At 34.5% G+C, this 17,085-nt stretch overlaps 1 long non-coding RNA gene across 1 annotated transcript in view; it reads left to right on the top strand.

Moving 5' to 3' along the window:
* The window catches only part of LOC102723724 (uncharacterized), a 104,643-nt gene that overhangs the window by 84,241 nt on the left and 3,317 nt on the right, over positions 1-17,085 (top strand). Inside the window, exons 4-6 of the long non-coding RNA XR_428030.5 lie at positions 6,363-6,465; positions 8,298-8,366; positions 9,772-9,949. This is a non-coding gene — a long non-coding RNA (uncharacterized LOC102723724). The remainder of the gene's footprint in view (positions 1-6,362; positions 6,466-8,297; positions 8,367-9,771; positions 9,950-17,085) is intronic.

Raw genomic sequence — 17,085 nt, 5'->3', positions numbered from 1 at the left:
TGTTATTCCATTGCAAGGATATACATATTTTTTACATCCATTGTTCAACTGATAAATATTTATTTGGGTTGTTCCCATCTTTTCACTATTGTGAATAATGTGCTATAAACATCCAAGTACAAGTTTTTGCTTGGACATATGTTTTCACGTCTCCAATGTACATGTCATTCTAATGGGCGGAAAGAGCTATTCCACTGTGGTTTGGATTTGCAGTTCCCTTATGATTAATGACATGAAATACTTGCAAGTGCTTATTGGCTTTCATATATCTTCCACGGGGAAATTTCTATTTTGATCTTTTACCCATTTTTCATGAGATTTTTGACTTTTTTATTTACTTTATTGAGTTGTAATAGTATTTAATATAGATAAAACTTTCAGATCAGATATATGATTTGCAAATATTTTCCCATTCTGCGGGTTGCCTTCTCCCTTTCTTAATAATGTCTGTTGAATGGAATACTATGCAGCCACAAAAAGAATGAGATCATGTCCTTTTCAAGGACATGGATGGCGCTAGAGGCCATTATCCTTAACGAATTAACACAGCAACAGAAAACGAAATACTGCATGTTCTTGCTTATAAATGGGAGCTAAATTATGAGAACACACAGACACATAGAGGGGAACAACGCACACTGGGGACCCTCAGAGGGTAGAGGTTGGGAGGTGGGTGAGGATCAGGAAAAATAAGTAATGGGTACGAGGCTTAATACCTGGGTGATGAAATAATTTGTATAACAAACCTGCATGACACAAGTTTACCTATATAACAAACCTGCACAAGTATCCCTGAACTTAAAATAAAAGCTAAAGGAAAATAATGTCTGTCGAAACACAAGTTTTTTTTTATTTTGATAAAGTTCAATTTATCAATTTATCAAGTTAAATAAAATTTCAATATCAAGTTAAATAAAATTTATCAATTTTATTGGTTTCTCATGGTTTTGTTTCATTTCTAAGAATGCACTGCTAAATCTAAGGTCAGGAAAATTTTCCTCTGCTTTTCTTCTAAGAGTTCCATTGCTTTAACTCTTAACATTTAGGTCACAGATTTATTTTCAGTTAATTTTTGTATACAGTAGGAGGTAAGAGTTTAATTTTATTATTTTGCATGTGACTATTCAGTTTTCTTAGTACAACTTGTCTTTTGTTTGTTTTGTTTGCTTGTTTGTTTTTATTAGAGACAAATTAGTGGTTCGTATCACTTGTTGAAAGACTTTTTCTCCAATGATGGAATTTGGCACTCTTTCAGAAAATCAGTTGACCATAGACACATGGGTTTATTTCTAGAGTTTAAATTCTATTCCTTTGAACTATATGTCTGTCCTCATGACATTACCACACTGTCTTGATTACTGTTGCTGCATAGTAAGTTTTGAAATCAGGAAGCATAAGTCATCCTATTATGTTCTTTTAAAAATTTGTTTATTTTGGGTCCCTTGCAATTTCATACAAATTTTAGAATCAGTTTGTCCATTTCTACCAATCAATCAGTTGGAATTCCGACAGAGATTGAGTTAAAGTTGCAGATCAAATTGAGGAATATTGATATCTTAACAATATTAAGTTTTCTGGTCCATAAACATTGGATTTTTTAAATTCATTTAAGTATTTAATTTTTTGAATAATGCTTTATAATTTTCAGAGTATAGCTGTTCTTCTTTTGTTAACATATATCTGATAAGGAATTAATATCCAAAATATATTAGGAAGTCACATAACTCCATAGCAAGAAAATAAGTAATTTTAAAATGGGCATGTGATTTTTCTTTTCTTGTGAGCTCTTTATCTAATTTTGGTGTCAGGGTAATAGTGAACTCATCGAATGAGCTGGGAAGTATTCCCTTCTATTCAACTTTTTAGAAGAGCCTGCGAAGATTTGGTATTAATTCTTTTTTAAATGTGTGGTGTAATTCAGCAGTGTAGTCAACTAGGCCTGAGCTTTCTTTGTGGGTAGCGTTTTGATTATTAATTAAAAGCCTTCACTTAATGTAGGTTAATTCAGATTATCTATTTCTTCTTGAGTGTTTTAAGCAATTTATTTTAAAATCAATTTAGCAAAGACAGAAGAAATATGCATTCATACTGTCTTTTATAATTATGTAATTGCCTTTACTAGGGTTCTTTGTTTTTTTGTGTGAGTATATGGATCTAAATTCCTGTCTGGGCTAACAGCCTGAGAAAAGTTTTTTTAGTGATTTTTGTAAGGTGTCTATTTTAAAAACAAATTTTCTCAGTTTGTGATTATCGGGTAATATTTCTATTTCACTTTCATTTTTGAAATACAGCTTCAGACTTTTGGTTGACCGTGTCTATGACCACTTTGTATATGATATGCTATTGCACTGCCTTAGGCTTCCCTTGTTTCTAATGAGAAGTCAGTTGATAATTTTATTGGAGTTCTCTTGTAAGGGATGAGTTTTGATTTTGGGCTTTTCTTTTCTTCTCTTGGTACTTTCAAGAGCTTGGCCAGGTGCGGTGACTCATGCTTGTAATCCCAGCACTTTCGGAGGCCTAGGTGGGTGGATCACCTGAGGTTAGGAGTTCAAGACCAGCCTGACAAACATGGAGAAACCCTGTCTCTTCTAAAATTACAAAATTAGCCAGGTGTGGTGGCACATTCCTATAATGCCAGATACTCGGGAGGCTGAAGCAGGAGAACTGCTTGAACCTGGGAGATGGAGGTTGTGGTGAGCCAAGATCACACTATTGCACTCCAGCCTGGGCAACGAGTGGGAAACTCTGTCTCAAAAAAAAAAAAAAAAAAAAAACAAATTTTTTTTTGTCTTTCAGCATTTTTACTGTGATGTGTTTGTGGATCACTTTGCATTTACTCTACTCGGAGTTCGTTGAGCTCCAAGGATCTGTAAATTATTGTTTTTCAATAACTTTGGGAAGTTTTTAACTGAGTTTTAAAATATTTTATGTGTTCTTTTCTTTCTCTTCTCCTTCTAGTACTCCCACTATGCTTATGCTAATGTGATGAATAATGTCCACATTTCCCAGACGCCCTCTGTTCATTTCTTTCTTCATTTTTCTCTTCGTTATTCAGATTGAATAATCTCTATCAGTCTAACTCCAAATTTGCTAATTATTTCTTCTGCCAGTTCAACTCTACTGCTGAGCTGTCTTTCTACATTTTTTCACTCCATTATTATACTTTTCTAGTGCAGAATTTTTACTTCTGTTTCATAATTTCTATTGCTCTATTGATACTTTCTATTTGGTTACATATTGTCATCATATCTTCCTTGAATTCTTTAACTGTGCTTTTCTTTCATTCTTTGAACACATTTATAATGATGTTTTGAAGTCTATTACTGTTAAATCTGACATCTGTTTACGCTCATAGGCAGTTTTTGTTGCCTGCCATTTTTTTTTTTTTTTTTTTGCACATCTCATTATATATTTCTTGTGATCTTTGGAAAGTGAACATTTTACAGAATACATTATAGCAACTCTGAGTAACCTTCTCCCAGGTTTATTTGTATTTGCTCATTGCTTATTTATTTATTACTAGCTGGGTTTTTTTAGTGGCACCTACTCCTCTCCCCACTTAACCCTCTGATGTTATGCTTGTTATGCCTGATCAGGGCAGTTACGGATTGAATTGTGTCCACTCAAAATGTATATGCTCATGCACTGACCTCCAGTGCCTCAGAATGTGACTTTATTTGGAAACAGAGTCATTGCTGATGTAATTTTTAAATTAGAATGAGGTAATAATGGAGTAGAATGGGCTCCTAATCCAGTGTGCCCAATATCCTTATAAAAAGAGAAAATTGGCCGAGCATGTTGGCTCACACCTGTAATCCCAGCATTTTGGAAGGCCGAGGCAGGTGGATCACCTGAGGTCAGGAGCTCGAGACCAGCCTGACCAACATAATGAAACCCCGTCTCTACTAAAAAATACAAAAAAATTAGCCAGACCTGGTGGTGGGCACCAGTAATTCTAGCTACTCGGGAGGCTGAGGCAGGAGAATCTCTTGAACCCAGGAGGTGGAGGTTTCAGTGAGCTGAGATCACGCCATTGCACTGGAGCCTGGGTGACAGAGCAAGATTCTGCCTCAAAAAAAAAAAAAAAAGGAAATCTGGAGACAGACCCACACACCGGGACAAAACCACAGGAAGATAAAGACAGCGATTGTGGTGATGGTTCTACATGACAAGGAAGGTAAAAATGGCCAGCAAACCACCAGAAACTAGATGAGAAGCATAGAATACATTCTCATTCACAAACCTCAAAGGAGACAACATTGCTAACAACTTGATCTTGAACTTTCTAGCCTCCAGAACTGCAAGGCTATAAATTTCTGTTGTTACAGTTTGTGTTACGTTGTTATGGCAGCTCTAGCAAAGTAATATAGGGCATAGCCTTGGTTATCTCATAGTCATTCTGGTATGACAGTGGTTTTGACAGCTCTCTTTGAACTCTTTCCTTGACCTCATTCAGCTGTTCTGTTCCAGTAATTGCCAGTTGATTGCTCTATAGTTTTCAGCAATATTCTGAATCATAAATTGATCCATAGACAAAGCCAATCAAGTTCAGGCTCCTTGGAAAGGATAATTTGTGAGAACACTGTTTGAGATTTTATTTTTTCTCATCCCAAGTGGGCTCCTCCCACTTATTTCTTTTTCTGGTTCTCTCAAAGTATCTGGCATAAAGTTTTGTCTATGTCAAATGAATCCAGTCATCTCTTCCCAATTTCCTTTCACTACAACCTCTCTTGCTTTTGAGAGCACTCTTAGACTTGAATTTCTCCACATTCTATTGCATGTAAAGAGAATTACTTTGAGAGAAGATTAAGAGCTATGTGTTCTATGACATGCTTCTCCCCAGCCTCCAGGCAAAATCTCTGAGCCACATCTCTGGAGTTTGATATGGAGACAGTGGTGTTCTTCACTCTGAGTGACACCTTGCTTTAGTAACTGAGTGTCCCATGGTGGAGAGTAGGGAAAGTAGCCTTAGATCTTCCTGCTAAGTCTTCTGATATGGAATCACTATCTTAGGAACAAAAGCAAGGGCCCCAGGATCTCAGTAGTGCCATGCCCAAGGTAGAGGTTACATCTCATGTTTTAGAATGAATGGAAGAAACCACCATCATTTGGCTAAACTCATAGTCTCAGTAACGTATAGCTGGGTTCAGGATGCAAAGTGTTCATGTCTTGCCTTTCCTAGGAAAATAATACTCTAACAGGAAGCTAGGGGAAGAGGTAGACCTTTATTTTTGGTTGCACCCATTTGCAGTTGATACAGATAGGAGACAGAGAATTACTGGGTAGAAGAGGGTGGTTCCCCAGCACAGGCCCCACTCTCAAGCCTGGATACCTGTAGCCCTAAAATGAGGATAGGCATTCCTGTTTTCAAGCCCAAAAGCTGCCTCTGGCCTGCCATTCCCCCTATCCTCTACCCATATAAACCCCTGACTCCAGGCTCCAGAAGTAGAGAAGGAGATGAGCATATCAACAGAAGAATGGTGTGGCAGAGAGAAGAGAAGGGACATCTGAACACCGAGTGGACTTTGGCTGGGGATGGTCAGAGAGGAGATTGGCTGTTGAGCAGCCAAACTCCAGCGGAAGATCATCTTCCCACTCCATCCCCCTTCCAGCTTCCCATCTAACCTGCTGAGAGTCTCCTCCACCACTCAATAAAACCCCCGTATTCATCCTTCAAGTCCGTGTGACACGATTCTTCTGGGACACTGGACAAGAGCTCAGGATACAGAAAGCTGTCACACCGGCCCTCTGCCCTTTCAAAAAATGGTCCACTGAGCTGGTTAATACTTAAGCCATCCGTGGATGGCAAGGCTAAAAGGGTGAACTTTAACACATGCCCATTTGGGCTTCGGGAGTCACAGGCTGTCACACCTGGATGCTGCCATGGGGCTGAAGCCTAGGGGTGCTCACTCCAGCTCCTACACCTGCCCGTCTGTATGCTCCACCTCCTATAAGGGGTTTGAGCAGCAGCAGCGACCTAACAGACAAGTCACAATCCTGTTGCATGTCCTCGGAGGGGAGTCAGGGAACTCTCCTGTTTCAGAGTGATGTTTCTATTTTGCTTAATATACAAGGATGAGTAGGAAGAAAGTCTCAGTTCAAATACCTCAATTCTCACTGTTCTTACAAAATGCTAGTAGATTTTCTTCCATAAATATCTTGTCTATATGTCCCTCATATCACTTCCTGAGACTTTAAATGATTGTTTTTAAGTAATTTTCACCATTTCTGCTGGAGTGTGGGTTGCTGGAGCTCCTCATTCTGTCATGCTGTAAATGCCTTTTAATATTTTTGAGTGTGTGAAAAAACTAATAATAAAGATTAATATAAGACACCATGGGCTTGTGCTTCATCTTTTAAAGATTTAAAGTCAGCAGTTCTCAAGGAAAATGCTACCCTGGAAAGAAAATATAACCTTAAAGTCTGGCAACTGCTCTGGACTTTTTCCTGAGATTTTCTTTCAAGGTAAGCCCAGTCTGTCTTAATGCACAGTAACCTATGCCTGGTGATTTAAAGCTCTAAAATTGACCTTTTAGCTTCCCATTTCCAAATTGTAATGTAATCTATTTGATACAAAAAAATTAAGTTTTGAATAATTAAGTGGCCCATTTACGATACAATAAAGTATGGATTGTCTTGTTGTTTTATATATTTGTTTGTTTACTTGGAAAAAGTAAAGAAAACCAAAGATAACACATTATTTCCTTGTAAAAATAATTTAATTGGAAAAAGGCTAATAGTTTTGCCAAATTTGGGGTTGGAGAACTCAATGTTTAATCTAATATGCAGTAAATTAGAAGAATGGGAGCTATATCTTTTTTTTTTTTTTATTTTAGGTTTAGTGCTCTACTGGTTTTAAGAAATGAATCATTGAATTTGTTTTATGAAAATTATTACTTAAAAGTTTGAAAATCGGCCGGGCGCGGTGGCTCACGCCTGTAATCCTAGCACTTTGGGAGGCCGAGGCGGGCGGATCACAAGGTCAGGAGATCGAGACCATCCTGGCTAACACGGTGAAACCCCGTCTCTACTAAAAATGCAAAAAAAATTAGCCCGGCGTGGTGGCGGGCGCCTATAGTCCCAGCTACTTCGGAGGCTGAGGCAGGAGAATGGCGTGAACCCGGGAGGCGGAGCTTGCAGTGAGCTGAGATAGCGCCTCTGGACTCCAGCCTGGGCGACAGAGTGAGACTCCGTCTCATAAAAAAAAAAAAAAAAAAGTTTGAAAATGTTAATTGTGTTTTTCTAAAACCTAGTAAACCAGGAACATTTATTTATACTCAAAGGATAAAACATCTATATTGTCATGTGAAATTTAAGCTCAGTTATTCTTATCATTTTAATTGCTCCTGAAAACAATAGTAATTGTTAATTTTGAGGTGCATCGTTTTAGGCTGGAAGACAAAGTAGAAAATAAAGTGCAAAATAGCATCACAGATAAGGCCTAGAATTAATTGGAAAGTACTAGGCAAGGGGCAGCAAGCAAATCAGTGGCAGAAAGCAAATTAGTGTTAATGACTTCTGTCAATATAGTTGATTTTTGGCTCCTACCACATCTGTGAGTGTGACTCATTCCACAATAATTGAATACAATGGCATTCCAACTATGTTTGAAATCTTTGACATTGGCTTAAGGAAGATTTTTCAGGAAAAGAGATTTTAGACTACTATTTTTGATACCAAGAAAAGAGAATGGCTTTTGAAAATATAAGGTCTAGATAATGACATAAAATAATTTATAATAAATATTAATATTATTATGATTTGTTTTAATTATAATTAATAGGTATTGATATATACTATACTAAGCACTATATGTGATAGATATCAGGTGTCAATTATTTTATGATGTATATAGTTTTTTAAATTTTAGTGATAAGAAGATTAAGATCTACCAAGACTAAAGGGCCAAAAGCACACAATAGAGCATTCAAAGGCATGCAGACAGTTCAAAGCTTTCAGTGTGTGTACAATAATTATTTACATGATATTTTAATCTACACTGAAGATACAGGTATGATTTATATCACAAAAAAATATACCAACATTCCATGTGGCATCTGTCAGCCAACGCAGAGGCAATAGAGGAATTTGTGTGTGTGTGTGAGATTAAAAAGGATGTTGAATAATTAGTATTCTAATTTATAACATATCACGCTGTTGTGCTGCTTCTTTTTAAGCCTATTTTTAAAATCATCTCATGATACATTTGACTTTCTCTCTTCATGAACTTAAAGAAATCTCTTTAAGTGATTTATGATAACCTAAGATTGGTTATGAAACACTATTCAATTTTACAGAATAATTAGCTTTCGAATTCTTAGACAAGATATATTCTGAAATATATCCAAATCGCCAGACTTTAAAAGGTAAGAATTATTATTTATATGCTTCTATGTTGATATATAAGATATAGTTTATCATATGTGAGAATCTTACGTAAATTTATTAGGTAATACATTCTGAATGTTCTGAGTACACAAAAGCAAGAGATCAATTAGTAATTTAAAAACAAGATGGTACCCAAGAAAAGTGGACAGCAGAAGCACTTTAAGGAGAATAGTTTTAGTTTTAGTAATGGTAAAAGCATGTGACATCCAAGATGCTAATAAATGCAAGCATAAAATTAAAGCAAACACAATATTAATTCCCTTTTGCTACCTGAAGATGTTGTAAAGTTAAAAATAACTAAATCATAATTAATAGATGTCATTCAATAAGAAACCTGTCAATAACAAAACTCCACAAGAAGAAAACTGCAGAATTTCTAATTTCCTGCAAATATTAGACATTTTAATTTCAGGTTCACTAGCTGAGTTACTAAATTCTAGGTAATCTTAGAAGATGGATGCTTAATAGCACAGACACACACATGCACACATGCATTACAATGTATAATAGCTATTATAATTATTACATATCTCTGTATCTACTTACCTATCCGTATCTATCTCTAATAGACCCTCCATTGAAGGACTGGCAACTAAATACCTGTCTTGCCAGTACTCATTATTTAAGAATGTGTTATGGCAATGTGTCCTGATAGAAAAATCATTATCCTTATTTCAAAAATACAGTATCTTGAATACAGAAACAAATAGGTATCTAGGTAGACGGTACAAACAAATACTCATGTGCATTTAAAACAGCATTTTAGTTTTAAAATATATATATATATATATATATATATATATATATATATATATATATATATATATATATCTTACAGAGTCACCAAATCAGATATGTTGAAAATAAATGATACTATTTTCCAGGTTTCATAGAAAGCCTAGGGATATTTTTCAGAGAAAATGTAAATTTTATCTATTCTAATAGCATTAGCAGTTTTTCTTATTGAGTTCAGAATACCTTATTGAGTATCTCTGAAGTTCCGAATTTAGGTATGCAAGAATTCAATCTTTTTCTACAGATATTGATTTTGTTTACAAAGATCTCCAGGAAGGAGCAGAGTGTTTGAATTTATGTTGCCATACTTGCTTTATCCCTTGCCAGTCAGTTTGCAGACATAGATAACAAGCTGGAGGTTAAAAAGCCTTAAAACAAACCCAGCTGTATAAATGATTATATGCATAATTTTGCATTATTGTTTTTATTTCTTTGATCAAAAATAGATGCAGAGTCTAGTCTTGTAGGAAATGAAAATGAATGGGTGTGGTATCATAGTGATCTGAGTCTCTTTGCTGTGCACACACTTGTATTCTGTGCCTTGATTTTTTGTTGTTGTGCAATGAAATGCTGCTTTTCCTCTCAAAGGTCATTAACAAATCCAATGAATGAGGGCATAGTAATGCATTTAGAGATCAAAAATGGAGCAAGAATTCAAGTATATATTCAGCTTTCTGAAACCCCCTCTGTCTGCTCTATCAACAATCACCAAAAGGAGACTGAACAGGAACTGCCTATCCAATTCCTACACTGAGCACAAAACAAGGTATTGGTGAATGAAATGATTGCTTAGAAAACTGAAAGCACTCCTCTTTGACTGAATACAGCTTGATTTATTCATAGATAATGTTTTAAGATAGGAGTTGTGTTATTATTGATTTGTTGTTATTGACATAACCTACATCAAGTATAACAATTTTCTAAATATTTCAGTGATATGAGAAAGTCTTATTAACTATTTGATTTATAAGAATATTTTAAAAACCATGTAGAACTGCTATAAGATTTTTGCAAAATTATCGTGTCAGAAATGGTACTAAGATTTATCACTTGGCACTGTGTCTTACTGTGTTTCTAATAAGTTGTTTTGTGCACTATTTTTTAAGAATTTTCTGATAATGATTACTTTTGGAGAACTCTGTAAGTGTAAGTTATTATTTGTTATCTCATTTTCTTAGAGGTTTACATATAAATTTGCTATTGTTTGTTTTTTCACACATAGTATAAAAATATAATAGTTGCAGCATGGTACTTAATTTCATTCCATTCACTTCTTAATAAGCTGTATTTGTACTCAAAAGGCATTTTTAGAAATGTGCTCACTAATATAATCTCTCATCTATAATTTCTACCACAAGGCAGCTAAAATTCCCTCTTGAGCAAGATAGATGTGCAAATTTAGTATTTTAATGAGGAAGTTTAAATTTATTTTCAAGAACACTTCACTTAGGCTAGGTTATTTTGAACATGTATAAATACAAGCACTCAATGTTTTAAGTGGGAAACCACTACTTGCTTATAGTGCTGGGATGCAGATAGTCAGGTTGAGTTTAAAAATAACCTTCCCTGAAGATCCTTTGATTAATTTATCCCAGAGCAAGTTTTCTTTACTGACCTTTGCATGAACTTCACTCACTGCTGTATGACCTCTGTTTTGCTTGTGCACAATATCTTTCTGTCCCTGCAGCTGGGCTGGTAAACACCAGGAGGAAGAGCATCCTCTCCTCCAAGACCTAGTCTGAAGTCTTACTCTCTGGAGAAATACCTTGTTTCAGGGATGAGGATGCAATACTTCACCTAACCATTGTACATATGGCAGAATAACTAAAGCCTGTGATCTAACAATTGCTTCATCACTCACTTGCAGAATAGTAATGTGAAAAGATATCTTTCTCTCCCATCAATACTAATATTAGAATACAGTTTTCTATAATCAACAATTAAATATTTATAGAAAGTATGTAAGATGAAGATTAAAAATGTATATAAATATGTAAAACAGTAAAAACATCTTTTATAAGGGAAGTATTATACTACGATTTTTCTGATTTCTGATGTCTTGTCACAAACACAAAAGAAATACATAGAAGTTGACAGATTATACTTAAGTTACAAAGACAGAGTATCCCCAGCTTGTATTGAAAATGATGGTTCATGTATGCCAACTGTCTACATGTATCAAAATAACATTGAATGTACCAATTAATAAAAGAAAAAAGAAAGACGAAACTGGGAGAATATAAAGACAAAATTTCCATATAAAATCTAGTGCTGGGTTACAAAGATATTTTTATTTAAACTATACATGCATTTTTACATATATATACACACACAGAAAGATTTATATATGTAATGTATAAGGATGACATTATTTTATTTCTAAGAGGTGTTCATGCGAATTTAAGATCTTGATTCCCTAGGGACACCGAATCCCAGATGAGCAAAATACAGGAGATATTTATTATAAAAATTACTTTTTGGGGCTAGATGAATTCCCCTTCCAATTAGCACTAGGTCATAAGCTATATTTTAAAATGTAGAGTTCATTGTTTATTTGCATTTGATTTCTCTCTCTAATAAAAAAGGAGAAATAGATACAAGTAAGACCAACTTCTTTTACGGTATCCACAAATCTTTACAACAATTATATATAATATTTGTAAGAATAAAAAATAATATTTTCTACTAGGACAATGTGCATTTCAGAGTCTTCCCCATCATTTCCTACCATGAAAAATTTTAAATGCTTACAAACGTGGAGAGAATAATATGATAAAACATGGCCATGTACTGATAACTTAGCATTAACAATTGCCAAATTTGGGCTAATTTTATTTTATTTATATCCCTCCCACACTCCCTCAAATTATTTTGGAGCCAATTCCATATATAATGTTATTTAATCCATAAATGTTTCAGCATATATCTCACAAATATTTCAAAGCAGCCACCATAATATTGCTTCAATAATAATTCTGCATTTGTTTGAAACAAATAAAAAGTTTAAAAAATCTCAGCAAAGAAATAAAAGTTATAAGAAAATGAACAGACAGAAATTATAGAACTGAAAGAATATAATAACAGAAATAAAGAGGAGAAAAAACCTTTGCTGGCTGAGCTCCATAATAGAGTGTTGGTGACAGAATCACTGAACTTGAGAACTGATCAAAAGATTTCACTCAATTCAAACAACAGAGAGAAAGTATACTTTAAAGAAAAAAATGAACAAAGTCTTATGGACATTGGGAATAATAATAAAATATCTTACATTCATAATATCAAAGTTCTAAAAAAGAAGAGAAAGAATACATGGCTGAAAAATGTGTTAAAAAATAGCTGAAAAACCCCCATATTTGGCAAAAGACATGTACCTACAGATTCAAGAAGCTGAGCAAACTCCAAATACATTATACCCCCCAAAATTTACTCACACAGCATAATTAAACTGCTAAAAACTAAAGAGAAAGATAATATCATATAAGTAACCACAGAGCACATCACCTATCTGGGAATTCTGATTTGTATGATAATAAACTTCTCTTAAAGCATGGAGGCCAGGAATAATTGGTATTTTTTAGGTGTGAAGAAAGAGATCTGTCACCCACGAATTCTATATCTAACAAAAATATCCTTAAGAAATGAAAGAGAAATCAAGGCATTCTCAGACAAGGGTAAAATAATGCCTACTCTTTAAAAAGGGCTACAAAAACTCTCAGCAAATAGAAAAATATAAAAGAGTGAAGCCGAGGATTTAAAAAAATAGAAGGACTATTAAATATGTAACAATAAGGATATATATTCTAGATTATCTTATTTCTCATGAACTTCTTAAGTCATATTTGATGACTGAAGTAAAAAGCATAACACCATCTAATGTGGATCTCAATAAACATAGAGGAAATACTTCAGACAATTACATAAGTGCAAAGAGAAAGAAACCTAAATATAAATAAAATTTAAATACTTAATCAAATAGTCATACTTCAATATGAGTACGTTGTAATAAATTACATACGTATATTGTAATATCCAGAACAACCACTAAGAAAGCTATAAAAAGAGATCTAGTTTAAAGCAGTATAAATAAAATAAGAAAGAATCCAACGGAAAAGCAAAGAAAGAGAAACAGAATAATGATAATCCAGAAAGAACAGCAGACTCCTGGTTCCAAAATGGCAACATAGTAGCAATCTGGCTTCACTTCCCCTTCACAAAAAACCAAAAACAAATATACAGCACAGAGGTTATTGCCAGCAATATCCCAGAACTCAAACAGGAAGATGCAACAGTTCATGGGGCCACAGACAAGTAAAAAAAACTCCAAACAGATGGTAGAAGAATCTGACTTCCATATCCATTATACACCCCTTTCCCCACAATCAGCCCTGCACTAAGTGTGTGGAAAAATTCTCCCCAACTCAGTTTCTATACTAGAAAAAGTGAGATCAAAGTGAAAATAAGTTTCTCTACCATCTTGGGTTCTCTGACGGGAGACCTGTCCCTGCCTCCACCCACAGGAAACATTAAGAGTCCCTAAAGGAGAAAAATTTCTGAGAAAGCCAAAAATAAAGGGGAAGGGAAGGACTACGATTCACAGTCCTGGAAACTGCTCTGTAACTCAGCCAAAGGAGATGCCAAATCAGAGTGGCTGTTCAGCAACTCCACACTAGGGTCTTCTGGGCACAAATTCCTAGGCAGCTGTCCCACATTGCAGGGATATCCCCTCTGAGATCTGTTTATTTGGGATGGGCAGAGCTGTCGTCCATTACTACAGCTGAGGCAAACCTGGGCTTATGAAGTCATCTAGTGCTTAAAAGGGGGCAGAAACTAAGCTGGAAAGAAATTTTAAAATTACAATGAACCTCTAAGCAATCACGTCAAAAAACAAAACAAAACAAAAACAAAAACAAACAAAAAAAACCAGAGAAAACTGGAATAAATAACTAAACTTTCAATGGAAAGACATAGACATACATAGACATACATCTACAAGAAACAACACCAAACCGGGAATCATCACTCCCCAAACAGACAATGCAAGGAATGAGTGATGGATACCAACAACATAGCAATATGTGAGCTCTCTAACCAAAAATTCAAAATAGCAGTTTTAAGAACACTCAGTAATCTCCAAGATAACACAGAAAAGCAAGTCAGATATTTATCAGAGACATTTAACAAAAAGATTGAAATATAAAAAAAGGCATATATTGGAACTGAGAAACATATTTGCTGAACTGAAAAATTCATTAACAACTCGTAACAGTAGACTTGATGAAGCAGAGGAAAGACTCAGTGAGCTCCAAGATCGGCTATTTGAAAATACACAGTCAGAGGAAAAAAGAAAAAGAATGAAATGGAGCAAATATGTACAAGATATAAAAAATTAGCTAGAAAGGTCACTATATAATGATAAAGTGGTCAGTTCAGAAAGAAGATATAGTTATAAATATCTCTGCACCCAACCCTGTATCACTCAAATCTATAAAGCAAACATTAACAAATCTAAAGGGAAATAAATACTGCCATAGCATAACAGCAGAGGACTTCAACACCCCACTCTCAGTAATAAACAGATCATCCAGACATAAATCAACAAATAAATATCTATACACTGGACCAAATAGGGCTAATTGACATTAACAGAAATTTTCCCCCAGTGGTGGCAGAATACACATTATTTTCAGCAGCACATAAATAATTCTCCTGAATAGACCACATCTTGGCCCACGAAACAGTTCTCAACACGTAAAAAAAATTAGAAATCATATCAAGTAACTTTTCTGAATACAATAGAATAAAACATTAAATTAATAACAAGAGGAACCTCAGAAACTACAGACACATGGAAATTAAACAACATGCTCTAAAATGACCAATGAGTTAGTAAAGAAATTATGAAGAAAAATTTAAAATTTCTGAAACAAATGAAAATGAAAAAACAGCATACCAAAATCAATGAGATACAGATAAAGCAGTACTAAGAGGGAAGTTTACAGCAATCAATGCCTATATCAACAAAGTAGAAATACTTTAAATTATGTGATACCTTAAGTAAACTAAAGATATACCTCAAGAACTAGAAAAGCAAGAATAAAGCAAACCCAAAATTACTAGAAGGCAAGAAATAATACAGATCAAATCAGAAATAAATTAAAACTAAAGAACAATTACAAAAGATAAACAAAAAGTTGATTTTTTTGAAAAGTTAAACAAAATCAACAAACTTTTGGCTAAACTAAATAAGAAAACAGGAGAGAAGACTCAAACACATGAAACCAGAAACAGGGCCAGGCGCGGTGGCTCATGCCTGTAATCTCAACACTTTGGGAGGCCGAGACAGGCAGATCACAAGGTCAGAAGATCGAGACCATCCTGGCCAACACAGTGAAACCCTGTCTCTACTAAAAATACAAAAAAAATTAGCTGCATTCGCTTGTAGTTCCAGCTACTTGGGAGGCTGAGGCAGGAGAATCACTTTAACCCAGGAGGCAAAGGTGGCAGTGAGCCGAGATCACGCCACTGCACTCCAGCCTGGCGACAGAGCTAGACTCCATCTCAAAAAAAAAAAAAAAAAAAATTAGAAACAGAAAAGTTGACAAAGCAACTGAGACCATAGAAATACAAAGAATAGAGAATGTTATGAATCACTGTATGCCAACAAATAAGAAAACCTAGCAGAAATGGATAAATGTCTGGACACATACAACCAACCAAGATGGAACCATTAAGAAATTGAAAACCTCAACAAACCACTAACCTGAAATGAGGTCAAAGCTGTAATAAAAGTCTTTCATTCAAGAAAACCCCAGATCTGATGAATCCACTACTGAATTCTCCCAAACTTTTAAAGAGCTAGTACAAATTCTACTTAACTGCATCAAAAAATTGGAAAGGGGGGAATACTTCCAAACCATTCTACAAGATCAGCATTACCCTGACACCCAAACCAGACAAAGAAACAACAAAAAAAGAAAACTACAGGCCAGTATCACTGATAGACATACATGCAAAAATTCTCAACAAAATAATAGCAAACCTAATTCAACAACACTTCAAAAGATTATTCACCACAATCAAGCATTATTCATTTCAGGGATGCAAGTATGGTTCAACATATGCAAATCAATAAACATGATACATCACATTATCAGAACCACAAAAAATATCCTGCGATTATTTCAGTAGATGCTGAAAAAGCCCTTGATAAAATTCAGCATTTCCTTGAGAAAAAAAATTCTCAACTGGATATAGAAAAAACATACATCAAAATAATAAAGGTCATATATAACAAACACACAACCAACATCACACTGAAAGAGAAAAAATTGAAAGACAACTCTCTAAGAAATATGGCCACTTTCATCACTTTTATTCAACATAATACTGGAAGTCCTGGCCAGGGAAATTAGGCAAGAGAAAGAAATAAAAGGCATTTAAATTGGAAAGGAAGAAGTCAAATTCACATTGTCTACAGATGACATAATCTTATATTTAGAAAAACCTAAAGACTCCACCAGAAAACTGTTAGAACTGAAATAAATTCAGCAAAGGTGCAGGATACTAAAATCAATATACAAAAATCAGTAGCATTTATACATGCTAACAATGAAGAATCTATAAAAGAAATCAAGAAGTATATCCCATACCTACAAAGAATATCAAATATCTAGAAATAAATTTAACCACAGAAGTGAAAAATCTATACAAGAAAACCATAATAAACACTGATGAAAAAAATTTGAAACAACCCAGAGAAAACATATTCCATGCTCACGAATTAAAATAATATTGTCAAGATGGGAATACTATCCAAAGCAATTTATAGATTCTATGAATTTCTGTCCAAATACCAGTGATATTCTTCATAGAAATAAAAAAAAATCTTCAAATTTATATGGA

The sequence above is a fragment of the Homo sapiens genome, chromosome 6, assembly GCF_000001405.40.
Source record: "Homo sapiens chromosome 6, GRCh38.p14 Primary Assembly".
Lineage (NCBI taxonomy): Eukaryota > Metazoa > Chordata > Mammalia > Primates > Hominidae > Homo > Homo sapiens.
Note: the sequence above shows the minus strand (reverse complement) of the source record. Positions and strands in the feature narration are given on the sequence as shown.